At 44.4% G+C, this 27,530-nt stretch overlaps 2 long non-coding RNA genes across 3 annotated transcripts in view; one reads left to right on the top strand and one right to left on the bottom strand.

Annotated features, from left to right (window-relative positions):
* LINC02930 (long intergenic non-protein coding RNA 2930) overlaps nt 1-27,530 on the bottom strand; it is a 216,730-nt gene that overhangs the window by 30,322 nt on the left and 158,878 nt on the right. The gene's annotated exons all lie outside the window — the stretch shown is intronic.
* The window catches only part of WDR11-DT (WDR11 divergent transcript), an 89,368-nt gene that overhangs the window by 56,190 nt on the left and 5,648 nt on the right, over nt 1-27,530 (top strand). Inside the window, exon 2 of the long non-coding RNA NR_033850.1 lies at nt 18,106-18,255. This is a non-coding gene — a long non-coding RNA (WDR11 divergent transcript). The remainder of the gene's footprint in view (nt 1-18,105; nt 18,256-27,530) is intronic.

The following is a 27,530-nucleotide window of genomic DNA, read 5'->3' as shown; positions in this document are numbered from 1 at the left end:
TGGGAGGCCGAGGTGGGGGATCACCTGAGGTCAGGAGTTCAAGACCAGCCTGGCCAACGTGGTGAAACCCCGTCTCTAATAAAAATACAAAAAATTAGCTGGGCATGGTTGTGGGTGCCTGTAATCCTAGCTACCTGGGAGGCTGAGGCAGGAGAATCACTTGAACCTGGGAGGTGGAGGTTGCAGTGAGCCGAGATCATGCCATTGCACTCCAGCCTGGGCAACAAGAGCGAAATTCCGTCTCAAAAAAAAAAAAAAGTGACTGGTATTTTGGAACAAGATCGGGGAGGGAAACACACATTGGGCAGATGCTAGGTGCCTTATTGCTGGAAACTGACCCCCTCTGAGAGTCTCCAGCTGCTTCCCAGAGGTCCCTAGGGAGCTGCTTTCTCATCCATGTGCAGGAAGCTGAGTTCCAGCCCAGTGGTGTCCTGGAACTGGTTGTACCAACCCCATGGTGTATATTTCTCCCAAGTCTGTGTTCAGCGTCACCTAGTTTGTAGCTTGAAATTGGCCACAATGAGAGTATTTATACCATGGAAATTAGCAAATGCTGCAAAGCAGGGCTTTTCCCCTCCCCAGAGGACTGGCTTATTCACACACCACTTGTTCCAGCCTCTATTTTGCTCCCACACAAAACACTTTCTGCTGCCCATAACTGCTCTGGGGCCTTGGCTCTGCTGTCTCAGCTGCTTCCATGAAGGGCAGCCTCACTGGCATTGCACAGACCCAGCAGAGGAGAGGGACCTGCTCTCCCCACACCTCCTCCACTCTTTCATCTGCCTACCACAAAACAACCTCGGTTGTAACGTTAGCCAATAAAATAGTGGTGTGAAGATCCAGAGTTTTTCCTAATAAAGGTTTCAAAGTGGCCCAAGATCTAAGTTTGAAACAAACAACTCAAATATCCATCAATTAATGAATGAGTAAATAAATTGTGGTCTCTCCACACAAGGGAATATTATTTAGCCATAAAAAGGAATGAAGTACTCATACATGCTCCAATGTGGATGAACCTCAAGTATATTAACCTAAGTGAAACACGCCGGACACCAAAGGCCACTTATCCTAGGATTCCATTAGTATGAAATGTCCAGAATAGGCAAACCCTTAGAGACAGAAAGTAGGTTAGTGATTGCCAAGGCCTGGAGAGATCAGGAGATGGGAAGCGAGTGTTAATGGCTTTGGGGTTTCTTTCTGGGGTGATGAAAATGTTCTGAAATCAGATGGTTGTGATGGTTGCACGACCTTGTGAATGTCCTAAAACCCACTGAACTGTACACTTAAAAATCATGGATCTTATGGAACGTGAATTATACCTCAATAGAAAAATAACCAACAGCAAAATTAGTGAGCTGTGGGCAGTTCAGCTCCCTTTGGAGCTTATGGGGAGGTGGCTTTTCAGTAGCATGCCCTCTGTCTCCAAGGATGCCTGGAGCAAGGGGGTGCAGCTTCCTCTGCTTTGTGGAGAGGATAAGGAGGGCCTCGCTTGGCTTCCTGCTGCTCCCCTGATTAGAAGCCCTTCTAAGGGGATCAAGGCTGTGACTGGCTATGAGAAGAGAAAACTAATGCTCCATTTCCCACTCAGTCCCTGGGCTGCTGAACTCTTCCCCACCACTTGAGGAGGAGCTACGCTGGGAAGAGATGAGCTGATGCCCAGCTCAGTATGTGTGGGGGAGGGGGGTGAGCTGATGTCCAGCCCAGTGTGTGTGTGGGGGGGAGGGGGATGAGCTGATGTCCAGCCCAGTGTGTGTGGGGGCAGGGCAATGAGCTGATGTCCATTCCAGTGTGTGTGTTGTGGGAGGGGGGTGAGCTGATGTCCAGTCCAGTGTGTGTTGTGTGAGGGAGGGGGGTGAGCTGATGTCCAGTCCAGTGTGTGTGGAGGGAGGGGATGAGCCGATGTCCAGCCCAGTGTGTTAGGGAGGGGGGTGATCTGATGTCCAGTCCAGTGTGTGTGGGGGGAGGGGGTGAGCTGATGCCCAGCCCAGTGTGTGTGGGGGGAGGGGGTGAGCTGATGTCCAGCCCAGTGTGTGTGTTGTGGGAGGGGGGTGAGCTGATGTCCAGCCCAGTGTGTGTGTGGGGGGGGGGGGGATGAACTGATGTCCAGACCAGTATGTGTGTGTCGGGGGGATGAGCTGATGCACAGTCCAGTGTGTGTGTGTGGGGTGGGGGATGAGCCGATGTCCAGCCCTGTGTGTTGGGGAGGGATATGAGCTGATGTCCAGCCCAGTGTTGGGGGGAGGGGGGTAAACTGATGTTCGGCCCAGTATAGGGGGCAGGGGCTGCCCCATTGAAGTGCGAGTTTCTGAGAGATGGGCATGACTGGTCACTGCTGACTTGCAGGAGACCCCACTCCAACATCAGAGGAGAGTGGGTGTGCGGCCACCAGCAGCTGGGCGAAGATGAGGCCAAGTCACATAGGAAGGACCCAGGTCTGGGAGAGCAACTAGAAACTGAGACCCTCTAGTGGGGCCTAGAAAATAAGCTAAACCACCAGAGATGCCTCCCAGGAGAGAGCAGCCACAGCAGGGCAGTCACCAGAGACAAGTCTGTTCTCCAGCCCCTCACCCAGCTCTCCTACCCAACCAACCCTAGGGCCAGGAGGAGGGGCCCATGCATAAAGAAGTAATCTGTGGCTCCTCCCCTCCTCCCAGACCTGGCTGGACTTGGGGCAGTTTTCACTTAAGTCTGAGCCTGACCTTCAAAAATGGGCAGGACCACATCTTATTACCCAGATGAAGTGACTTCAAGGAAAGTGTCTGACATTTAGGAGGTCTCTACAAAGCCAGGAAGGAGGGCTCTATGAGGCATAGCAGGAATAGTCATCGGGGAAAATTGTTTCCTGTTGTCCCTCACAGTTACACTCCTCAGTTAAACCAGGCAAGAGACATCACTGAAGGATTTGAGAAAAGAAAGGGAATTAGAGCAACCCAGCCTGCCTCTCCAGGGAATTCCCTGGTGCCCCGGCCACCTGGAAGTTCCTGGATATGTGCAAGAGACCTTGGGTTGATGGAGAGGGTGAAGGTGGTGGTTTTCATTTCCTTCTTTTCATCCCCATCAAAGGCTGCTCTTCTGAGTCTTCAATTTCCAGACCAACCTCCCTTAAGGTGACTGACAGTGGGGACCTCAACCTCACCTACAGGGATGTGGACTGATCCCATGGTCTCAGTGAGAGACCCAGGCAATATTTCTACATGAAGCATGTTGGATTTCTGAATTATCCAGCCTCAAATGACACCGGGATGGGACAGTGTTAACCCAGGTGAGGTGAGACTAAGCCAAGTTCAGTCCAGCTTCTTTTCAGGCTGTTCCCATAAAGCTTTAAATACTTTATTCTTTATTCTCTCCGATGTCACCTTGTTTCAGTGGACACTGTCATGCCCATTTTACAGATAAGAAAACTGAGGCTCTGAGAAGTTGAGGGACTTGGTCAAGGCCACATGTCAGTGAGTGCCAGAAGTTTCTGCTACTCCTACAAAATCAGAAGTTCCCCAAATCCAAACCATCTCGACCTACCCCTGTGACCCGCCAAAAGAAGCTGGCCTTCCCCATCCTCCTGTCTCCGCAGTGCCATTTGCCTTTCAGTCTCCTAAAAAGAAGCACTTACTCTCTTCCCCAAATCGCAGAGGGAAGCTTCAAATACACTTCTAATCATCCTCAGTACCCAGCAGTATATGTAAGTTATATTTAATAGCATTAACCTAATTTATAAAGACTTTTTGGAAGTCAGGAACATATCCATAAAGACTAATTCCTTTCTAACAGATTTTGAAGAAAACACCACTAAATAGAAGACAATACTTCAAAAGCAGTTTAGACAATGCAGAAAAATAAATGTCTCCCAGATGAAGTGGGGGTGGGAACGGGAGAGAAAAAGATTAGAAGTGTTTGCTGTGCATAATTCTTGGTAATACACATTGCAACTATGTCATAAAACATACCTCAAAGCAAAATAGCCATATCAACACAGCTGTGTCAAAATGTCCTGCTTTGGATCAGGGATTCTTCAGAAAGTGGAGGGTGAGAGGGCCCAAGAGGATTGAGTTGGGATAGAAAGGGAGGTGATGCTCTGGGCTTGTTCTAATTGAGTGCTAGCTCATCCTCAGCCTGGGGCTACTGGCTGGGCACGTGGCTAGTGGGTCAGAACAACGTGCCTATCTTTCTTCCATGTTGTTCATAGTACTGAGTGCAGGACACGTAGCAGGTTCACAGTAAATGCTAATCACTTGATTGGATTTTAGTCATCTAATAGGTAGGCAGAAGGATGTTTATGTCAATTACAACAGCAACTAAAATCTCCACCCTCGAATTCCTGGTCTAAGCTAAGATCAATAGGAGTATTAATAGCCAGTAATAAGCACAGAGAGTATATAAACATGAACATGATGGGTTAGGGATACATTAGATTTAATTTTCTTTAATTATATATGCTTATGGGATATGTAATTCATTTCTTTAGAGGGAGGGAAGGAGAGGAAGAAGGAGAATATGAATTATTAGGGTTGGCCTGTCTTGCAATTCCCCACAACATTTTTCAGCAAGGAGGAGATGGGCAGAAGCACTGCAAAGCAGCAGGAGTGGGGATATAAGGGGCTGACAGTCTTGTCTCTACTCTGAGGAAGGTCTCAAACCATCTCATCAGCTCCAAGGAAGATACAACTACCAGCCCTGAGGGTGGGAAAAGATTAGGCCCTATTCCATCCCCTCAGGGCTGAAAGCAGGTCCAGCACACAGAGGTGGTACCCAAGGCCAAACATAATCAATGATGGATGCCTTCTCGCTCCAGAGTGGGAGTCCTGAGTGCAGGAACCAAGTGCTGCTCATTAATCTATCTTCACACCTTGCACAGTGCCTGACACAAGAAGCCCATGAGCATTTGTTGAACGAATAGGCGAGTGAGTGAATGAATGAACTGTTTCTTCTATTTATGTCTGTGGCTGGAAGAAATTCCCCTTTTTACTTTTGAAATACTTCTCTTTTTGTTTCTTTGAATCATTTCCTCTGTTTTGTGACAATGCAATGCACCACTTCCCTCGCATCCTATATTCCAACTCAGCTTGGAACCCTTGTGCTGTGCACAAACACAGAAACATTTTAAGAAACGCACCAACCCTAGACCAACCTAAGTTCATCCATCTTAGTATGGCTGGAATGTATCTGAAAGGGGACCAATGTTCATTTATGTGCACACAATGTAATATATCAAAGCTTGTTTATCCTCAAGAGTTCCTGGCTAAACTCTGTCTTTCAAGATATTCTCAGCCACAGAAATTTCCTCTTAACATGTGAGGCAGCTTGCTCTCTGCATCACAAGACACCATTAACCCCAAGCAAGAGTTTTGAAGCCCTGCCCTAACAAGCTTTAAGGATTTAACAACCTTATAGTCAGAGCATAGAAAGCATTTCTGCAGTACAGCCAGTAAGGCATAGCAGGTCTGGATCACTCTAATATGCAGAGAAAGCCAGTGATGAAGCCAACCAGAGGGTGTGCTGTGGCTGAATAATGACCTTTGGGGCCAGAAGGCCAGGAACGGGCCAGCCTCAGCCCTACTGAACAGCATAACAAGAGGAATAAGACTTGAATTTTTCTAGCCCTCTCTTTCTATTGCTATATAATAATTGTACACATTTATGGGGTACATGTGATATTTTAAAACATGCATACAATGTGTAATGATGAACTCAGGGTAATCGTGAGATCCATCACCTCAAACATGTATTATTTTTGTGTGTGTTGGGAACATTCCAAATCTTCTAGGTATTTTGAAATATACAATAAACTATTGTTAACCGTAGTCGCCCTATTGTGCTGTCAAACACCAGCACTTAATCCTTCTATCTAACGGTATTTTTGCACCCATTGGAGAGTGATGATAGGAGCCACCAGTTTATTCACTATGAAGGCAACATAAAGGGTCTGCTGGCCAGATTTTACTTGTTAAATCCATTAGCCTCATCTCCCGGAACACTGACCACATGCCAGAAGCTGTTCTAAATGCTTTGCATGGATGAACACACTAGCTCATTTAATCCTCAGGATCCCATGGGCTCATTCCCATCATCATTCTCATGTTACCAAGGAAGACAACTGAGACCCAGAGCAGTCTATGGCTTGTAGGTAGCAGGGCCAGAAGGGGAACAGTCGGTGGGATGGCAAGGTCATAGTGCCTCTCGTCATCGTGCTGGCAGTGTTGTCTTTCAGTTATGGCTTTTGGGCATGAGATTTCACCTATCTGATATGCGTTACTTCTGCTAAGTGGGGTATAATTGTGTAGTAATATCCACTTCATTAGGGTGTGCTGAAGATGAAAATTAATAGCATCTAGTGATGTGTTTGGCCCATAGTATCTGTTCGATAAATGGAGTAATTTCCATTATACTTAAGGTTGGAAATGGGAAAACATGAATCCAACTTATATTAAGTTCAATTTCCTTTGTATAGAAATCTAGGTTGGGCTAATTAATAATAGAAATCTGCCTATGTTGATTTAACTTTAAGAAATAATTTTTATAATGTAAATGTCACAGGGCTACTTCCTGTGATGCATAGTTCCTGGGACAGCTTTGGGTTCCAGTAACTATTAATTCAGTGTATTAATACATCTATCCCACAGGCGTGGAAGGTTGGTGCTAAACTTGGTAGTCAGGTCTCTTTCTTTGCTTTACATTGAAAAAAAAAATTACATTTTTTTTTCCTTCCTCCATCCCAGCAAGAGAATCTTCATTCATTGATTATCTAACCTGTCCCAGGCCAGCTCTGCATCCATAGCATTTCATGTGGTCCCATCCCAGCTTTGCAAAGACGGAGCCTGAGTTTCCATGAAGTTCTGCCACCTGCTTAAGGTCCCACAGCCATAACGATAGTGTGGGGGCCCAGCTCCCTCTAGCTCCCCAACCTGTGCTCACTCAGATGCACTTCTTGTAGCAGGCCGGCCTTAGAAATCTTCAGGCTTCAAAAAAATTGCAAAGACTTTAGCATTAAAACCATTTTTTGGGGTGAGAGATTAGGAAAATTAAGAATCACCCATTTTTGAGGGGAACAACACACATGGGACCTGTTGTGGGGTGTGGGGGGGATGGGGAGGGAGCCTAGATGATGGGTTAATAGGTGCAGAAAACCACCATGGCACACGTATACCTATGTAACAAACCTGCACATTCTGCACATGTATCCCAGAACTTAAAGTAAAATAAGATAAAATAAAATAAAAAGAATTACCCATTTTCTTATCCCCTAATAGTAAATGGGATGAACACTAACAATCTCTTCACTGACCAACCTCATCATTAAGAACTTTCATTGACCAGGTGTGGTGGCTCACGCCTGTAATCCCAGCACTTTGGGAGGCTGAGGTGGGCAGATCATGAAGTCAGGAGATCGAGACCATCCTGGCCAACATGGTGAAACCCCGTCTCTACTAAAATACAAAAAATTAGCCAGACATGGTGGTGCACGCCTGTAGTCCCAGCTACTTGGGAGGCTGAGGCAGGGGAATTGCTTGAACCTGGGAGGTGGATATTGCAGTGAGCTGAGATCGCACCACGGCACTCCAGCCTGGTGACAGAGAGAGACTCCTTCAAAAAAAGAAAAAAAAAAAACCTTCATCACCTCATCATATTTCACCATGTGGAGTTGGGGAAACACCTTCTACATACAAATCCTCCATTACTATGGTTTGTTTTTGTCTTAATATTTACCAATTTTCTTCTCTGAATTATTATGAAGTAAATTACAGACAACATATCATCCCTAAAATTTCAGTATGTACCTCTAAAAAATAAGGACATTTTTCTATCTAATCAATGCCACCGTGATCACACCTGAATGAATATCATCTAATTGTCCATATATATATTCGAGTTTCCCCAATTGCCCAGAAGTGTCCTTTATAGCTGCCAAAATTGTCTTTTGAAATTTTTACCTATGGCTGAAAATAGCTGAAAATGTCTGTAAAACGGCACTTGAAGGTATGTCCCCATGCAGGGCATCAGAGGAGTCTTGGGTGACTCTAATATAAATTCATTGCCAAAACACAACAAAACAAAACCATATATGTGACACTTCTATAATCAGGCAGTAGCTTTCGCAGATAGGAGTTACAAGTCAAATTTAATATTGAGGTCTGGGTGGCAGGTTTTCCCCTGGTTGTTTTTTTGTTTTTTTTGTTTTTTTTGTTTTTTTTACCTATCTCATCTGGTGCTAACATGCCTAACTCCTCTTACTGCTGGAGACATATCTTATCTTCCCCTTGGGTGGATGTCCTAGGTCACAGTGAAGTGGCAGCTAGGAATGTGGACAGCCCTCACCCCAGGTGAGTTTGAGGGTCTCCCAGTTTTGAATCTCAGTGATTTAGGTGGGAGGCAGAGATGCTGTAGGAACCTCACTTCTTCTTCCAGTAGGATGACCAACCACTCTGATTTGCCTGGGACTTTCAGTTTTAAAATCAGGGTAAGTTGGTCACTCTACTCCCCCAGGGTGTTCGGCTTGCCCATCGTGGCAAAGCTCTGCTCTTATTTGAGCTGACATGTCCATTAACCCGCAGTATTTACTCAGTTTCTATTATGTGCCTAGTAGATAACTAGGGGGGCTACAAAAGAAGGGGGATAGGAACTGATATTGATGACCTACTGTGTGGCTCTCACTTCACAGAACCAACCAATTCACTCCCCAGGTGTAATCACCATGAGGGCTGGGATTCTCTCCAGCTCTCTCCCTGTCTGTATGTTAGAACCACCTGGGCAGCTCCTCCAGGAGTTTCTAGTTCAATCAGTCTGGGCTGGGGGGGCCTAAGCACTCTTATTTTTAAAAAGTGCTTCTCAGTGATTCTGGATAACCCTTTTCCTGCATCTCAGACTGTAAGTTTCTCAATGCAAACCTCTATGTGACTGATCATAGTTGGCATGTGAGAGAAAACTGATTTGTTCATCTGACACTAACGGTGGGTCCCTCCATATACAGCAAGAGTGACAGCAGCTTTGCCCTTGAGGGACATGCTCACCCACTCGGGCCCTGGCAGTCTGGGTTTAGAGGCTGGCTGTTTACAGGCTGTTCAACCTCCTATGCTCTATTGGGGAAGAGGGGAGCCCCTGGTCATCCAGATCCTTGTCCAGGTAACCTCAGGTGATCTCCTATTGGGATCAATTGAACCAGCTTATCTCCACACACTGACCTCTACAAAGCAACCTCCTTCTAACAAATGAAAGCCACAGAAGGTGACCTCCCAGAATATCTGTCACATAATACTGACATCCATTTATTGAATAGAAGTTGGTAAGACATGACAAATGTGCATGAGAACATAAGGTCAGTTTATACCAAGTACCAAATGAAGAATTTCATCAATAAGCAATGTAGGAGTGAAGGAGCCCTTTGGATGGTGTGCTAGTATATTTTCATGCTCCCTGAGACTGGGCAATTTACAAAAGAAAGGGGTTTAATGGACTTACAGTTCCACATGGCTGGGGAGGCCTCATAATCATGGTGGAAGGCAAGAAGAGCAAGTCACATCTTAGGTGGATGGCGGCAGGCAAAGAGAGAGCTTGTGCAGGGAAACTCCCATTTTTAAAACCATCAGATCTTGTGAGACTTACTATCATGAGAACAGCACAGGAAAGACCTACTCCCATGATTCAATTACATCCCACCATGTTCTTCACACAACACTTGGGAATTGTGGGAGTTACAATTCAAGATGAGATTTTGGTGGGGACACAGCCAAACCACATCAGATAGGGTAGGGCCAGAAGGCTTCCTGCAGGAGGTGGATAAACTCTGGAAGGTGGGCAAGATAGAAGAGTAGAGAGAAAGCAGACCCTGCTCACAAAAGAATGTGGTCCCCTATCATCATAGTCACTTGTTTGGAGGAAAAAATAAGGCTATCACTTCATTTTCAAATGCTTGCATTGTAAGGCCACTAACATCACCAGTGAATATAGCTTAGAGGTTAAAACCATAAGCTCCAGACACGAGTTACCTGGGTCCAAGTTGGGCTTCCTAGTTATGTAACCATGGGCAAGATAGAATCCTTTTTCTGTAAAGCTGGATTAACAATGATATCAGCCTAATATGATTGCAAGGATGATGACCAGATAACACACATAGAATGTGCAGTACAGAGCCTGGCACATCATAAGCATCCAATAAATGCTGGTGATGATTGTTGCTAGCATTATTAACTGAAGACTTGGTCATTTACTATAATCACATGGGTCAGACATCTCTCAAAATTTTAAGTTCTTGGTGAAATCGTTACTCACAGAAGATGGCTCTCCTTTACTGGAATGGGAGCAAAGCTGACATTAAACCTCCAAGGCTTGCCATGTTTTGAGAATCATCAGCATAATGCTAGATCTATCTTTGCCCAATGAATAAGCAAGCAGATGTCTTACTTTGCTAGGGTAGCCATAAAGTGCCACAGACTGGGTGACTTGAACAACAAAAATTAACTTTCTCATCACTCTGGAGGCTAGAAGTCCAAGATCAAGGTGTTGGCAGGGTTGGTTTCCTCCGAGGCCCCTCTCCGTGGCTTGTAGACAGCCGCCTTTTTGCTGTGTCCTCACATGGTTGTTGCCCTGTGTACACAAATCCTTCATACCTCCTTTTGTGTCCAAATTTCATCTTCTCATAAGGACACAAGTCTGAGTGGATCAGAGCTCACCCTAAAGTCCTCATTTTAACTTAATCGCCTCTTTAAAGACACTATCACCAAATACAGTTACATTTCAAGGTCCTGGGCATTAGGGCTCCCACATATGAATTCTTGGGGGACACAGTTTGACCCGTAACAGCTGGGTTCTGCTTTCCACTATACTTCTGTTGATACAGAGGAGAGGGAAGTTCCCATGGCTGTTGTTGTCTGCATAGGGAGGAAACCTGGAGTGTTTCAAGTGTGCATAGCACGTGGTTCCTGTGCTCGCTCAGCCTGGCGAAGCTGCCTGAAGCAGTCACAGGAGGTGCAAACCATCCACAGTGCTCAGCATGAACAAAACACTTACTTCCAAAGTGCTTCTGAGAAGTGAAAATGAGATTTTAAATATAAATCATTCGTCCAACACAACCACTAATATGTGCGGCCAATATTTCTCACTAATGGATGGGTTAGAAAATAAATGTATAGCCAATCTCTCATAATGAAATATGTGTACTCTTTATAATTGCTAATGATTTAGAGTACATCGCTCTCTCGCTTAGTAAATGGAGTTTTCACATCTTTTGTCTTAGTTAAGTAAAATGCGGTCATGTTGATGTTGTTTAATCAGAAGGAAAGACAGAATAAGGTGGCTGTTTTTAAAGGTTTTAAGTGCTCATGTGTGTTTTGTGACATGCTTTCTCAACTTTTATACTGAGGACCACCTAGAAAGTTTTATGATAAATAATTGGCTTGTGGTGCTCAAATGCAGAAGGAATAGGAATTCCTAGTCAAACTATTGAGTTACAAAAGGTTCGGTCTCATAGGCTCCTTTAAAGTTGTTTTATTGTATTTTTCTAAGTAAGCACTTGGATCCTCAAAATGTTTCATTTACATGGGTCTTTTCTGTAAGGCAGCGCACAAAAGAAAATTAAATTTATTTGAAAATTGTCTCTGCACTAACAGCCTGGAGTATCCTCTTTACTGTCCCCAACACACACACACATACACACACACACACAGGCACACTCACGCAGGCACACACAGGCGCACACACACAGGCACACACATGTAGGCACACACAGGCACATACACACAGGCACACACACTCGTGCACACAGCCCTCCCCTTAAAAGTAGTTCAAACCTATAAAGTTCAGTTTGATTCCAGGGTTATTTCTAAAATTCTCACATGTTCTTTTGCAAGCTTAGAACGCTGCCCTAACAAACACTAAGGTAGTACATATTAGGCCTTCAGGTGTCTTGTTTTACTTATTAAAAGTATTCACAATTGATTTTTCAATTCTTGAATCAAATTTCCCTTTCTGGGAAGGTCTATGACTTGAGTTTTAACTGTCCTCTTAGCCAGAATCCAATTCTATAGTCTATGGCCAGCCATGAAGGTTGGTATCAGGAAAAAAAGCCTTGTGATGTAGGCTTAATTCACATGGCTTTATTGACTTAGAAGCTATAGATTAACCCTTAAGCATAATTCTTGCCAGTGATGGGATGCCATAAGGAATCGCTGTGTTCAGAAGAGTAGTGATGTTCCCTTTCATTTATATGATGCAAATCATTTATGCTATAATACCACAGAATACGCACACATTCTCTCTAACTACACTCACACACCCTATAACACACATACACACACACACACACTCTAAGTAAAGTGTTGTTGGGATATTAATTAGGAATGTCCCTGTTTTATTGGGCAAGTGTAATGCCAGTCTGCTGTATACCATAGAAACAGGAGGGCAGAGCCAGCAGCAGTGTGAGCTTGGCCCTGGACCCACTTCACTGCTAGACAGATGCTCTCATGCTGCACCATTGCAAGTCATCGTTGAGTCACCCTGGCTTCCATGAACTTGCTGACCTTTAATGGGTCTGCAACTGCCCTTTCAAATCACCTGAAAAATAACGGAGCCTATTAATTAGCCACCTTCCTAAAAGCAACATGTCAGGGGAAAGACACTGTGAGGATGAGTGGAGCGCAAGGTGGAGCTTCCCAGGGCCAGTTCAGAGGACATGGGACAGCACCGTGGTCTAAAGCCCAGGTCCTGGACTCCACCAGACACATATTTGAGTCCTGGCTCTGTTACTTATCAGCTTCAAGGGAATAAGTAACTTGCCAATGCTACACAGAAAGTAAATTCCTGGCCAGGCACGGTGGCTCATGCCTGTAATCCCAGCACTCTGGGAGGCTGAGGTGGGTGGATCACTTCAGGTCAGGAGTTCGAAACCAGCCTGGCCAACATGATGAAACCCCGTCTCTACTAAAAATACAAAAAAATTAGCCAGGCACGGTCGTGGGCACCTGTAATCCCAGCTACTCTGGAGGCTGAGGCAGGATAATTGCTTGAACTTGGGAGGCGGAGGTTGAAGTGAGCTAAGATCGTGCCACCGCACTCCAGCCTGGGCAACAGAGCGAGACTCTGTCTCAAAAAAAAAAAAAAAAGGAAATTCTTATTGCATAGGGTCATGAGGATTAAACGGCGACAAGCACATGAGCCTGGTGTCTGGCACATCCCATCATATTTGCTGTTATGATTATTACTGCAATGCTTACATGGGCACAGCTCTGGGGAAACTTAGCCATGGTTTGATATTAGTGACGTCAATAGACAAGTTAGTGATATCAGCTGGTTGTCACCAACTCGACCATCTCTTGCTACATTTCCACTTCATTTTGTGCTGTGTCAGTACACTTGAGCACAAAGAATTGGAGAAACTGGAATTTATTGAAGGCTTGTGAGCCATTCCAAGCTTTTCAGAAAACTCGAGATTGCCAATGTTTATAAACAAAGCATCCTGCTCTGCTGCCCAAAGTTTGAAGAGCTTCATGTCTTAGTGAAAGTAGCCAGTCTGTGATTTACCTGCATGGGACTTGCCTGCTGATCTCTGCAGGCATAAGCATCTTTGCCCAGGTGGCATCTACTGCTTGCCATCTGAAGGTGGGACTAGAACTTTAGGTCCTTCACAGTTGGATCAACTCTAGATTTGCGGGCTTCACTCTCTAGAGACAGTCTCCTGGTGAGGGGAAGCTATTTTCCGTCTACAGTGAGGGGTGAATATAACAGAGAAATATGTTCCTTCTCTACTGCACAGATGTCAAGGGTGAATCACGAGAGGAGGATGCAGAGAGCTGGGGACATTTGAGCAGCAAGGTGCCTCAGCTGGCAACTCAGCAGTTCCTTAGTAGCCCAGTCCTTCGTAGAACCCTTGCCAGTGTTTCCACAGTGCCCTACAGAGCATCATTAATCAAGGCAGAGGCTGTAGAATTGCTTCTCCCTGCTGCAGGGACTCCCTGAAACTTCCGCCATCTCTCTGCAGCCCTGTGGATGGCAATTGCCAATGGCATTTCTCTCAGCCACCATCTCTTAGGATTCAGACAATTGGACAACTCAGCCTTAGCCTGTAAAGGTCACCTCTGGAACTAGAGGGGCTGCAGCTCACAGCCCGTGGTTCCTGCTGGGGTCAGGGGCAGCTCATGTGCCCTGCGGCTCCTCCAGGGCATGTGATAGCTGCCTAGGCCACTTCAGTGTCACCAACCCACCTGTGCCTGCCCCTCCTTCCCGCTCTGCCCTTTTCAGTCCCTTTCCCTGAGGCTCCTAAGGGAATTTGATTTCAGGGTCTCACGTCTCTCATCAGGACATGTGGGAGCAGTGCATTCAAAGGGATTGAGAAAAGGCCAACTTTGTGTCATTTTTTTTCTGGCAGTATGCTTGGGTGTGCCAGAGATCACACCAGGATAAAAGCAAGAGGTAGGCAGGCTCAGAGCCAGAGTGGAACAGTGGGAGAGGCAGTCGGAGGGATGTTTTCAACTGCAAGGAGTAGAGTACCCAAAAGCAGGCTAAAAGCAGTTTAAGCAATAAGGACTATTTTTCCTTCCAAATAATAAGTTCAGAAGCAGTTGATTATTGGGGTTGGTTCAGTAACTCAGTTATGTCTGGATACCAGGTTATTGCCTCTGCTATTTTCTGAGTTTTCCAAAGGTCCAAAAGCAAGATGGGGTAGAGCTCTAGCCCATATCTCTCCAGGAGGAAAATCTTTCCAAGAAGATCCCCCAAGGTATTTCCACCAATGTCTCTGGATAAAACTAGGTGTCATGGCTGCCAGTGGCTCAAGAGCAACTGGAAAGTGAGTTTCTAACCTTTTGAGCTTCTGTTTGTCATTGATCCAGGTTCCCCCAGCAGGGGAGTATAGGCGGGGGACAGCTGCTGGAGAGGCAACAAGCAGTGATGGCGACAGATGCTATCATTTATGAAGATCTGAGTGCTAGCACTGCATTTTTACTGTAGAATTTTACAAATATATCTTTTGTTTTTCCTATCCCCACAATAAAACAATATGTATTAAATTATGCCGCATAGTCTCGCATGTGCATCTATAAAATTCCAGTCTCAAAAGTGGGTTATTGGCCGGGCACAGTGTCTCACACCTGTAATCCCGGCACTTTGGGAGGCTGAGGCAGGTGGATCACTTGAGGTCAGGGGTTCGTGACCAGCCTGGCCAACATGGTGAAACCCCATCTCTACTAAAAATACAAAAATTAGTCAGGCGTGATGGTGTGCACCTGTAATCCCAGCTACTGGGGAGGCTGAGGCAGAAGAATCGCTTCAACCCGGGAGGCGGAGGTTGCAGTGAGCCAAGATTGTACCACTGCACTCCAGCCTGGGTGACAAAGCAAGACTCATCAAAAAATAAAAATTAAAAAAGTAGATTATTTATGCACATAAGAAATAGCTTCATTTTCAAGAAGCAACAAGACAACAGCATACATAGCTGGTGGTACAATAGACATGCCTTTATCCCTTTATGGAACTGGAGGATTAGGACCTGGGATCTGCTATTAATTTAATGCTTTAGCAAATTAGTAATCACAATGATAAGAAACTGTAGCCTTTCTTCCCAATTCCTTTCATCAATAGGCAAGGAGGGCACAGTGAGATGGAGATGTATTGCTATCACACGTACCAAGAAACTTTGAAAGGAAATGTGGATCTGTATAAAATATTTCCAACATTTTATAAACTATACCACAGAATTAAAGATAACTCAGGTTATCCAAGGAAGGAGAAAGGAACCTACCACATGCCCATGCTACCAATGAAGTGACTGAAACTCAGAGGTGCTAAATACTTAGCATCAAACCTAGAAAGTTAGTCTGTCTGGCACCAAATATTGGATTTTTATCACTGTGTCACCCAGCAAAAATCCAACATTTTAAATACTCGTATAGATTTTTCTTAAAATTCTTCCTTTCCAATGTGTAGTTAATACTCTATTTTATTTAAATTATACTTTAAAATTAGACCCAGTAGTGTTTGCATTCATGAATTTCTTTTAATTTTATATTTTGCATATGAGATGTAGCTTGATTTTAAGGAGGATGCAAATTTCAAAGGCACTGCTATGCATATCCACCACATTCTTGTCTACCTAATGGCTTATCGGGCTGGGCAGTCAACTCAGGCAATGGTAGCTGCCCTGGGTCAGGTGAGCACTCAGGTTGTGTATGCTGCGAATGGCGGTGAAGCTTATGCACTACAAAAGGGATGGACTCAAAGGGCACTAACTCGTCTGAGACTTGCCAGTTTTCACTGGGTAAACCAGGTGTAAATGTGATGTATAACACCCATCCTCTCATGGCCAAAGTCACAGTGTCATAGCCCTTGTATTATATTAGTCAAAGATTTCCGAAATGCAAAATGTCTATCATTCTTGTATTATTTGCTCTTGTATTAGTGAAAAATTTCTGAGACGTAAAACGTCTGTCATTCTTGTATTTATTGTTTCTGAGGCAAGATGCATATAATCGTTAACAAAAGATGTGTTTTTCCTACGGAAAAATAATCTACTGTGAAGCTGAAAGATTTTTGAATGGGGTGACATCTATTGCATGTAAGTGAAATTTTCACACAATAGAGTTGTTATAAGAAAGGTCCTTATGTAGCATCTATTTGAATCCCCTTGCTGTGAAGATGAAGAAACTGAAGTAGTGAAAGGTGAAATAATTAACCTAAGAACATACATAAAGCTACCCGTTAAATTGTGCTTAGTATTATTATAACACGATTGTTATTTTTAAGGTATTATAGCATTATTGTAGAGAATTTTCAACACGGAAGAAAAATAAGCTGTCCTGAATTCCTCCACTCTTATTTTGGAATATTTTTCTTTCAATTTTTTTTCTACTTTAGTGTCAGATTTTCTAAGACTCCCATTTCCTATGATATATTCTTATTCAGATACCAAGCTCATTAAATGAAAGGATATTTGAAATAGCTACTAAAAAGTTCTACGAATGAAATAATTTTGATTGGAAAAGTGTTGGTTTTCCAAGGTTCTCTATCCACCTGGTGTAGATAGTCTTTTGAACATGCTTTCTCATTGTTAATTGAGCACAGCTGGGTATTAGCATGTCACCAGAGCTTTAAAACCAAAACTCCAGTAGATCACTTATTTTATGGATGTTTCCACACTGGACCTCACTAAACTGACCAGATATTTGGTCAACATGTAGACTCAATCCAGGCCACTGAGTCAGGAGGCCGTACTCACGATGATTAGAATCTGCATTGTTCTTTCTGGAGCATATCTGCATCCATTCTGTTCTTTATTCCCCTCATTGACATTCTAGAAAGGGACTGTTGTGACTCTTTTCCAGGTGACAGACCTAACACTCAGGGAACAGGAGTTTAACCATTGTAAATGTCTGGAAACCACACCTACACTGCCTCTACATTGGACCTGAAATTCATATTATTGGAATCCTTTAACCAGAGACGAGGCAAGGGAGCACTAGGAAGTTTCCTGAATTAGATATGAGGCTAGAGTCGATTATCTCTAATGTGACTTCATCCTTTGAAAGCCTGTAATTCTACATTGTTGCCCCTTCACATTAGTCCTGGTGCTTGGATGGTAGATGGGCACAGAGTGGCCAAGAAACAAAATATCCTGCCCGTAAAGCTAAGACCCAGTGGGCCAGTTTCAGAAGAGTATCACATTTGAAGAACTGCAACCCATGAAGGGGATTTAATTTTACTTAGGTCTTTCTCAAAAATTCATGGGGGATCCAAGAGCAAAATCTACACCAAATCTTTATAACTTCTCTTGTTCTGTTCTCTGCCACCCCCAATTAGTCAGAGATTTCTCACTCCTACGCCATGAGTATACTCTCTCTCATCCAGATGGTCCTGTCCCTGCCACCTGAGTGTCTTGTTTTCCTATCATGACCCATTTGACCAGTTTCATCCTCCTGCTCCCCATGAAGCTGCCTGGGAAATACATTCTTCTCTCCCATCTCTTTTCTCATCAGGCTTTGCATAAGCTTTTGCCCTTTCTGCCCTCAAAAATAAGGAAAAGAGGGGGAAGTACAGGAAAAGCAAAGCTGGCAATTCTGAAATTGTTATATGCAGGCAGTGGATAAAGTCTGAACTCTTTACACATTAAAAATATTGTTTCTTCTCATACAGAGGAAGTTATTGTCCCAAAGTTGTGTGTCATGCCCGAAGTGTCTGGGATCCCCGAGTGCCTGTGGTGCCCAAGAGCTATGAATCTGCTATCATCAACACAGAGGGTACCTTCTGAATGGGCTATGTCTACAGTGATGCTGCAAATGGAAGGTAATGGGGGAGAGAAATCCATCTGGATGAAATGGAAGCTGCTTTGTACCCTTAGGCTGGCATATGCAGCCCAACTTAGGGTTAGCACTGGTGAGATTTTGATGTGTGGAAGACAACCCATGTGCAGTGCAGCTGCATCTGTACCCACAGGGTGGAGGATGCAATCTAACTTCTCAGCTACTGTAGCCATGTGAATGGGCTCTGAAAATTTTCATTAACTGATGCATTAAGATAATGGAAAAATAATGATACACACAGGACAATTGCTTTCATTATAATGTAGGAATTAAATCGGAACATCTTTTCTTCCACTCCCCTCTGTGTAGTTCAGAAAAGACTCTTAGGGGTTTTAAGCTCTCTCTCAGGTGGAAGAATATTTAAATAAATTATATAACTTTAGTTCGTTATCTCCTGACGCTTAGAGCTTTATACTTGTGATGAGATGGGTTTGTTTTCCGTTTTTTCTCCCTTTCCCCCTACCTCCATCACTCCAGGCAGAGCTCCTGGGAATGTTTGGCAAGGTTAATAAAAAGATGGAAAAAAAAATCTTTGGTAGGTTGGCATAAAAGCATATGAGTTAAAGCTGGCAAATTTAGCTAGAGGAGGGGCTGTTTGTCCTCTTAAAGCTCAAGTCTGAAAAATCCGAAGGAAGTGAGGCTTTCTTCAGCTAAGTGCCTGCCACTTCCTCTCCAGAACTGAGCCTACAGTGATGCTCAGAACCTGAAGATGCCACACACACTTCTGGGATGCAGCCAGGAGCCCTAGGGTGAAAAAAGAGCTCAAATAATCATGATTGTGAGGTCAGGGAAGGTGACTGGAAAGAAAGGGAATGCCCATGTGTGTGCCCAGGTTGGAGTCTCTATGGAAGGATCAGGAAACTGGAACACATTTGCGCTATCCTTTGGACTCTATAACGTAAGGCCTCTTTTCATATGACGCACCATACCTAGTGCCCCAAATGGCATTACAACTAAATATAAGGCATTTACAAGTGCTCAGTTGCAGAAGCCTGTACTACATCAAAATGTTAAACTAGAGGTACAATTGTTTTCCTTAAAAGTGTCAGGGGGCCGGGAGCAGTGGCTCATGCCTGTAATCGCAGCACTTTGGGAGGTTGAGGCCGGTGGACCATGAGGTCAGGAGTTCAAGACCAGCCTGGCCAACATGTTGAAACCCCGTCTCTCCTAAAAATACAAAAATTAGCTGGACGTGGTGGTGTGTGCCTGTAGTCCCAGCTACTAGGGAGGCTGAGGCAGGAGAATTGCTTGAATCCAGGAGGCAGAGGTTGTACTGAGCTGAGACAGTGCCACTGCACTCCAGCCTGGGTGACAGAGTGAGATTCTATCTCAAAAAAAAAAAAGGGGGCAGTTGGATTAACATTTTAGAAGTCAGTGTTGGTGGTCACACCACCTGTGACACACACACCTGTGATGTGGAGGCAACTGCGAGCGCTCTCAAATGGCTGTGCCACTCTGACACCTGTGAATGACAGAAGGACAGAAGAGGGGTTGGGCAGGAGTCTCAGGCTGCACTGCAGTTCCAAGCAAGTTTTAGGAAGACCAAGAGGGAGACCTTGAGCAAAAGACTTGCATAAGAGGGTTCTTGTGTCTTGGAGGAATGGCTGTCACCAAAAAAATGCAGTCCTAAGGGAGGCCTGGCAGTTTCCCCATCTACAGGTAAATCTGAAGAAATTTGCACTGAAGAATGACAGTTTCACCTCTCCCTCCCTCATTAGAGATTCAGGTGGAAATAAATTTGGTGGTTGGACTCTACACTGCTGTGCTTAGAATAAACTCAGCAGTTTTGCTGATTTTCTTTCTTTGATGAACATTTAAAAAGAAGATCCCAACTGAGTTGCTTCCTTTTTTCTTTCTGATAATAGGCTTGAACAGTGGGAAGGAAAAGGCTGCAGATGCCTGCGTGGAGAACTAATTGAAAGTAGCCACTGAAACTAATGGTACTAATGGGGATGGAATACAAAACTCAGAATTCTAAGGAGTTTGGCCAAACTTTTGAAACGAGTAGTGCCACCTGCATCTGCTTTCTTCCACCCACCCACTTGCCCGCTCCTTGTAGTCTGTTTTGATCTCTGTCCCTCTGCTGAAATTAGTCCCTGGGAGGTCACCGAAGCCATCCTGCACACTATGTTCACCAGCCTTTCCTTGTCCATCCTGGGTCTCCACCTCTCTGCCAGGTGCCACTGCAGATGGTCACCTCCCTCCCTTCCACTGCTGTCTCCATGGATGTGATTTTCTGTTTGTTTGCTACTCTTCATAGCTCCTTTGTCTCCACTCACTTCTGATCTTCCTCTTATTCCCAAATAGATTCTCCATGCTCTGCCCTCAGCCTTGAGTGCTTCACAAGTGGTAGCTATTATAATTATTCTTTAAAATTCAAAAGCTTAGATTTTCTTAAAACCAGTCCTAGTACATCCTAGTACATGGGATAAGTACTTGGCCACAACTGGTTGGGTCTATGAGTAGGTACAGCCCCTTTAGAGCATGACATCTCCATTTTGCCATGGATTCTACCACCTACTTTACTCACTTGTGTGGCTGCCTGGTCCATTGAGCCATGGAATTTCTAACCACAGCCTTATAATCATTTTCTATTTGTTTCTCTGTCTGTCTATTTGTCTCTCTCTCTCTCTCTCATGCCTCATCTCCCCTTGATAACCAAAATATCCTTCTCTGACCTGAGCACATCTTTCTGTGGGAGAGAAGGTAGGGGCTGGCAGCTCCTCTCTGCAGGTTCCTTCCAGTTCTGTGCCTTTGTCCTAAAGGCATCATCAGCAGTCTCTTCCTTTTTGATTAGGGGTGTCAGAGGCATTTGAACCAGAGTGACTCCATCTTGAATGAGGGCTAGGAAAATGAGGCTGGGATTTGCTGGGCTGCCTTCTCAGAAACTGAGGTATTTCTAGCCTCTAGATGTTTACGGTTAGGGGAATAGATTGACAATGTTTGCTAAACACACCCAGACTTGGAAGTGTCCTGATATCCCAATATCTTGAGAACAAACGCATTTCTAGTTTTGCTTTAAAGATAGTATTGATTCTTGCGAAATACAGTAATTAAGAAAATTAGTCCTTTATCACAAACCCTTATAACAGAGCAGATCTCCCTATTATTATTATTATTATTATTATTATTATTATTATTTGAGATGAAGTCTCGCTCTGTCACACAGGCTGGAGTGCAGTGGCGCCATCTCGGCTCACTGCAGCCTCTGCCTCCTGGGTTCAAGCAATTCTCCTGCCTCAGCCTCCCAAGTAGCTGGGGCCATAGGTGCCTACCACCATGCCTGGCTAATATTTTGTATTTTTAGTAGAGACAAGGTTTCACCATGATGGCCAGAATGGTCTTGATCTCCTGACCTCATGATCCACCAGCCCCGGCCTCCCAAAGTGCTGAGATTACAGGCGTGAGCCACTGCACCCGGCCCAATCTTTTTTATCCTGTATATAAACAAGCACTGTAACTAGGGTGGACACATTCCCCCTCTTACTTTAGGGAACACCCTGCTTTGTCCATCGAGTAGCTGTCCTTTCACCACTTTACTTTCTTAATAAACTTGCTTTCGCTTTGCACTGTGGACTCTCCGTAAATTCTTAGGCAAGATCCAAGAACCCTCTCTTGGGGTCTGGATTGGGACCCCTTTCCTGTAACAGGGGCAGACTTTCCTTTTTTCTCTTCTGATGTTTTATAGCTCAATGTTAGAATTGCTGCCCCAGCTGTGAAGGACACTGAGCATTAAATAATGCAGGGACTCCCATCCTTCACATAAAAAGATGAAAAGAAGTATCAAGGAAGAAGAGAAGGAATAGATTCTGGAGCTAATGCAGGAGATCAAATTCAAATGAGAGTTTACGATTCAGTGCATAGATTCTGGATTGAAGAACCCAGGCTCCTGCTAAAGCTGTAATTCCTCCTCGAACTTCCAGAGAGCCAGTCTCTGGGAGCCAATGCCAGACACAGAAAGCATCATGCAGTGAGGGAACGCAGGGCTTCTGTGTATTGCACAGGTTTTGCACTCTTAGGTGGATGGTTCATTTGCACATAGGTGCATTCAGCTCCAAACTCTCTGGGATGACTGAAAGAGCTAGCTGATGTGCTGCTGGATTCGGTTTGCCAGTATTTTATTGAGGATTTTTCGCATTGATGGTCATCAGGGATATTGGTCTAAAATTCTTTTTGTTGTGTGTCTGCCAGGCTTTGGTATCAGGATGATGCTGGCCTCATAAAATGAGTTAGGGAGGATTCCCTCTTTTTCTATTGATTGGAATAGTTTCAGAAGAAATGGTACCAGCTCATCTTTGTACCTCTGATAGAATTCACCTGTGAATATGTAAATGACGAGTTAATGGGTGCAGCAAACCAACACGGCACATGTACACATATGTAACTAACCTGCACATTGTGCACATGTACCCTAGAACTTAAAGTATAATTTAAAAGAAAGAGATTTTTCTTTTTTTTAAAAGAAAAGAGAAAGAGCTGGCTGAGTCAGACTACAGTTTTCATTCTAGTCCTAGTTTTGTGATCTTGGGACATCCTTCAACTTTTCCAACTCATTATTTCTTTAGTGACAAGTGGGGATAATCCCACCTCCCAGGGCTTTTAGGAGTGCAATTTGATGTGATAATAGGAAGATCTAGCACAGTACTATAAACATAGTGTTACTGGCAGCAAATCTGTATGGGTCTGCAGCAACCTGTTCTTCCCTCTTCAGAAGAAAGAATTCAGCTGAAGGGGCATGAGGCAGAGTGAGAGAACGAGGCAAGTTTTACAGCAGGAGTGAAAGTTTATTAAAAAGCTTTAGAGCAGGAATGAAAGGAAGGAAAATACACTTGCAAGAGGGCCAAGCAGCCAACTTGAGAGATCAAGTGTCCAGTTTGACCTTTGACTCAGGGTTTTATAATATTGGCATACTTCTTGGAGCTTGCCTCTCTTCTCCCCTGATTTTTCCCTTGATGTGGGATACCTGCATGCACAGTGGCCTGCTAGCACTTGGGAGGAGCCGCTACAACCATTTCCTGGAGTTGTGTGATGCTCACCTGAGGCATTCCTCCCTCACCAGATGAATGCTCTGAGAAGGTCATATACCAGTTAAACTCCGCCATTTTGCCTCTTAGTGTACATGCTTGAGCCCACTCACCCAACTCCTGAGATCTTATCGGGAAACTGCTGATCACCAGTTTCAGGTTTTTTTCTGTCTATTGGGAGACTGCCTTTCCCTAGTGCTGGCTGCGACCAATTACCATTTTAGAGAAACAGTGTAACAACCGCCTGACCATATTGCCTGATGGTCGCCTGACCTTCCTGATGCAGTGGGAGGGAACCCCATCCTGCCCTTTTCATGCAAAACTAGCTACCTGCTATAACAACAGGAGGCAAACAACAGCCAGGATCATCCTGTACAGCTGCATAGGTTGTGCACTGTGCAATGCCAAGGGTGTCATTCACATAGTCTCTCCATAATCATATGCAGCAGCCCCACCTGCAAATGTCGGTTCCCTTCATCTCCTTTCCCCAATGAGAGTAGTGAAAAGATTAGAGAGAACAGCAAGGGGCATTTGATAACTACACGACTGACACAGATATATTAACATAATGTGACCAACTTCTGCTTCCTCTACTTGACAAAAGGGGACCCCTCAACATGTAATGAACGCTAATGTACTAGGCACTCTAGGCCCTCAGTAGGCATTTCTGTCCCATTTCTGTAGAGCACAGTTCTTTATAGCCCGTGGTCCAGTTGTCTTCGCCCCTGAGTGAAAGTAAAAAGCTGTTTCCATCCAAGAGCATATTACTGGCTTCAAGCCACCTCTTCTTAAACTCTTAGCCCGTGCCTTTTCCCCACATCTCACACCAAGCCCAGCATCACTGTAAAGTCAAACTAAGATCTGGTCTGAGAAAGCCTCTGTACTCTCATACTTGAGTTCTTATGGAGGAACTGTAACCTAACATAGTAGGCAGGCAAACCGAAAACTAACGCAGGAGTATGCTTCTGTAAGCTAGCAGAGTCTCAGCCAATCCCAGCAGCCATGCTTGAGCCACTCACAGGCAGCCAACTGTTCAAACCATGTGCAAAGGAGGCTAACGCAGAGCCATAACCAATCCAGCTGTTTCTGGACCTCACTGTTGTTTTCTGCAGGCTCCTTTTTTTCCCCTCTGTCCATAAATTTGCTCTGACCATGTGGCAAGTGCTAGAATCTCTCTGAATCTGCTGTGATTCTGATGGCTGCCTGATTCGTGAATCTTTTTCTTTTTCTTGCTCAGTTAAACTCTGTTATATTTAATTTATTTAAAGTTTTTATTTTAACACTGTGTATCTGGTCCATCAGTCCTCAGGGGACAGTCCTTTGGTATTTAGTGATAAGAGAGTTTTAGGGGTCATGAGGGTAGCCCCAGCTATGGAATCTCAGCATCAGGGCGGCCTTCAGAACTCAGCACTGCCTCCTCACCTGTCCACCCCTCTCATGAGCCTCACCCTCTGCACTTTGCTCACATTTCCCCCTAAAGTTTTCCTTGTGGCAGGAGATGCTTGACGTCAAGACCTTCCTTCTGAACATCAGTCAGTAGTGTGAAAACTGAAAATAGATAATATATTTTAGAAGAAGACTTCTGATCTCTGAGAGACAAATTATGAAAATTCTAACTAGCCCTATCTTTAAGGCATAGAAAAATTATGTTGTCAATATATTGCCTTCTGTTTGGTGCATGTTCTTCAAAATCAAAGACTGTTAACGTGCTATTGCTTTTCATCTTTGCCTCAATTGAATGCATTTATAAGGCCACTAATTCTTACCATTAATATCAGACCTTCAGTTTTCATTTTTACTGATTTTTATATAACAATTTTAAAATGCAATAAACTGCATAAGTACACACTGATGTTGAAAGACAGCACCCGAATCCAACTGGTAGCTGGCAGGTAGTGCCACCATCCAATTACCCAAAATGTTTCCTAGCCAGCTGATGTACAAGAGTCCCAACTGGGGTTTGAATGTCAAATATCTAAAAGATAAGGGCTGAGCACACTGATAACTAAATATCAAACTGGAAAAGTGACAGGGTCAACAGCTGTCTCGAACTCCAAGTCCATTAGATGGGGTGAGCCGCAGACACTAAGGGCCTTGTCGGGGGAAAGCAAATAACTGCTTTGGTCTATTCCATGCATCTATGTTCTCTGGGTTGACCCTGCAGAAATCTATAAGGCTGAGGTCCTGCCGTCAAGGTAGGACCAGTACTCTGGGCCTGGCCCCGCTGGGTTTTGTCATCCACTTCTAGACAACTCTGCAGGGCAAGGCTGTTTTCTGCCAGGTACCATTACTGGAGGGCTCTAGACCTCGAGAAATGTGTAATTAAGAAGCTCATCCTACCTCTCATAATCATCCTACCCCTTCCTTGCTGCTCTCACCCCCAAAGATTCCTGCTGAGGGGTCAGTAGGTCACTCAGAAGACAATGGAGAGCCACTGACAGGGTTTAAGGCAGGGAACCACAAGCCTAGACTTGCATTTTGAAAAGATAATTCAGGGAACATCATACATCTATGCGGTCCTTGGGGGCAAATGCTAGAGCTGAGAATGGATTCCATATTAGATCAGCACAATGTTTCCTCTCATCCTGCCAAGAACTGAACTTTGTCTCTCCATGCATCAAACTCTTCGATAGGATGCCCCAGTGGTGGACACACACAGCATATTTGCTGTTGTTGAGTTAGCCACTTAGAGGATTGAATCAGTAACATCATTTTCTCTTTTTAGCAACTCGTTTTCATTGATGTTACCTTGCACTCTATTCCTCCCTAACCCATGTAGCTCTGTCCACCCTAATTTTCCCCAAGATGTCCTGACCAAGTGGGAACAAAAGAGATCAACAGTAGCGCTTTAATTATATCCTCTCACAAAAGTCTGCACCTGCAGTCACTTTCAATCTCTCTTGGATGAGAGAGAGTAGAAGGTAGTAGAGTGGAGTGGGAAGAACTCTGAACATGAAGTCCAAATACCTGAGTTTTCCCCTGTTCTGCCCCTTACTTTTCATGTGACCTGGGGTCATGCCTCCACTCGCTTACCTGTAAAGGAGGACCAGGTCACCTTGCACATCCTAAAGCACGGAGTCTATGATTCTGCAGTTGGTTCACTGTGCTACTTGGAGGGATATGGCAGGAACAAGAATGATAATCCTTGCTTTCATGCTGAGCTGGCTTCTTCTGAATTGATTTGACTTGGTTATTCAAATGAGTTTCAGCTGCCTCTGCAAGAAAACAAGCATCTTCCCAAAATGTATTGGCCCTTCTCCAGAAGTTATGCAAATGGCAGAGATGCTGGTTTATTAGAAGCAAAGAAAGAGGCTCTCTTCCCTGAGCAGCCTTCGATGGTGGGAATCCCCAGTGCCTCTGCTAGCTGGGCATTCTGCTACTGTAAAGGAGCCCATGAATGCAGAGAACTCGGTCACAGGGTTTGAACCAAGGTAAAAATACTCACTGTGGCACATCAGGGGTGACCTGGGGTAGGGCAGGAAGCTTTGCCCTCACTGAGCTCTAGCAAGGAAGGGTGGGGCCTAAACCATGGCTCTGCTTAGCCTCCTACCTGGTAATTTATCAAGCAGCAGATGATGCAATATTATATAGCTATTAAAAATAATAAAGAGATGTGCATCTATTTATATAGAAAAATCTTCACAATATGCCAGTAAATAAAAAGTGAACCATAGGCCGGGCGCGGTGGCTCACATCTGTAATCCCAGCACTTTGGGAGGCCGAGACAGGCGGATCACAAGGTCAGTAGATTGAGACCATCCTGGCTAACACGGTGAAACCCCGTCTCTACTAAAAATACCAAAAAATTAGTCGGGTGTGTCGGGTGTGGTGGTGGGTGCCTGTAGTCCCAGCTACTCGGGAGGCTGAGGCAGGAGAATGGTGTGAACCCCGGAGGCGGAGCTTGCAGTGAGCAAAGATTGTGCCACTGCACTCCAGCCTGGGCGACAGAGTGAGACTCGTCTCAAAAAAAAAAAAAAAAAAAAAGTGAACTATAAAAACAGAACATACAATAAAATCCCATTTTCATTATACACTGTCTATATAAGATATATAAAATAGCTAATATTTATTGAAGACTTACCAAATACCAGCCATTGATTTAAGACTTTACACATACTATCTCATTTGATCATCCCAAAATGCTGTACAGAAGGTACAATTTAAAATCCCAATTGTACAGATAAGAAAATGGAATCAAACGAAGTTCAAGTGAATTTTCAAGATCAGAGTCAAT

This window comes from Homo sapiens, chromosome 10 (genome assembly GCF_000001405.40).
Source record: "Homo sapiens chromosome 10, GRCh38.p14 Primary Assembly".
NCBI classification, from domain to species: Eukaryota; Metazoa; Chordata; class Mammalia; order Primates; family Hominidae; genus Homo; species Homo sapiens.
The sequence above is the reverse complement of the archived record's forward strand: the minus strand, read 5'-3'. Positions and strand labels throughout refer to the sequence as shown.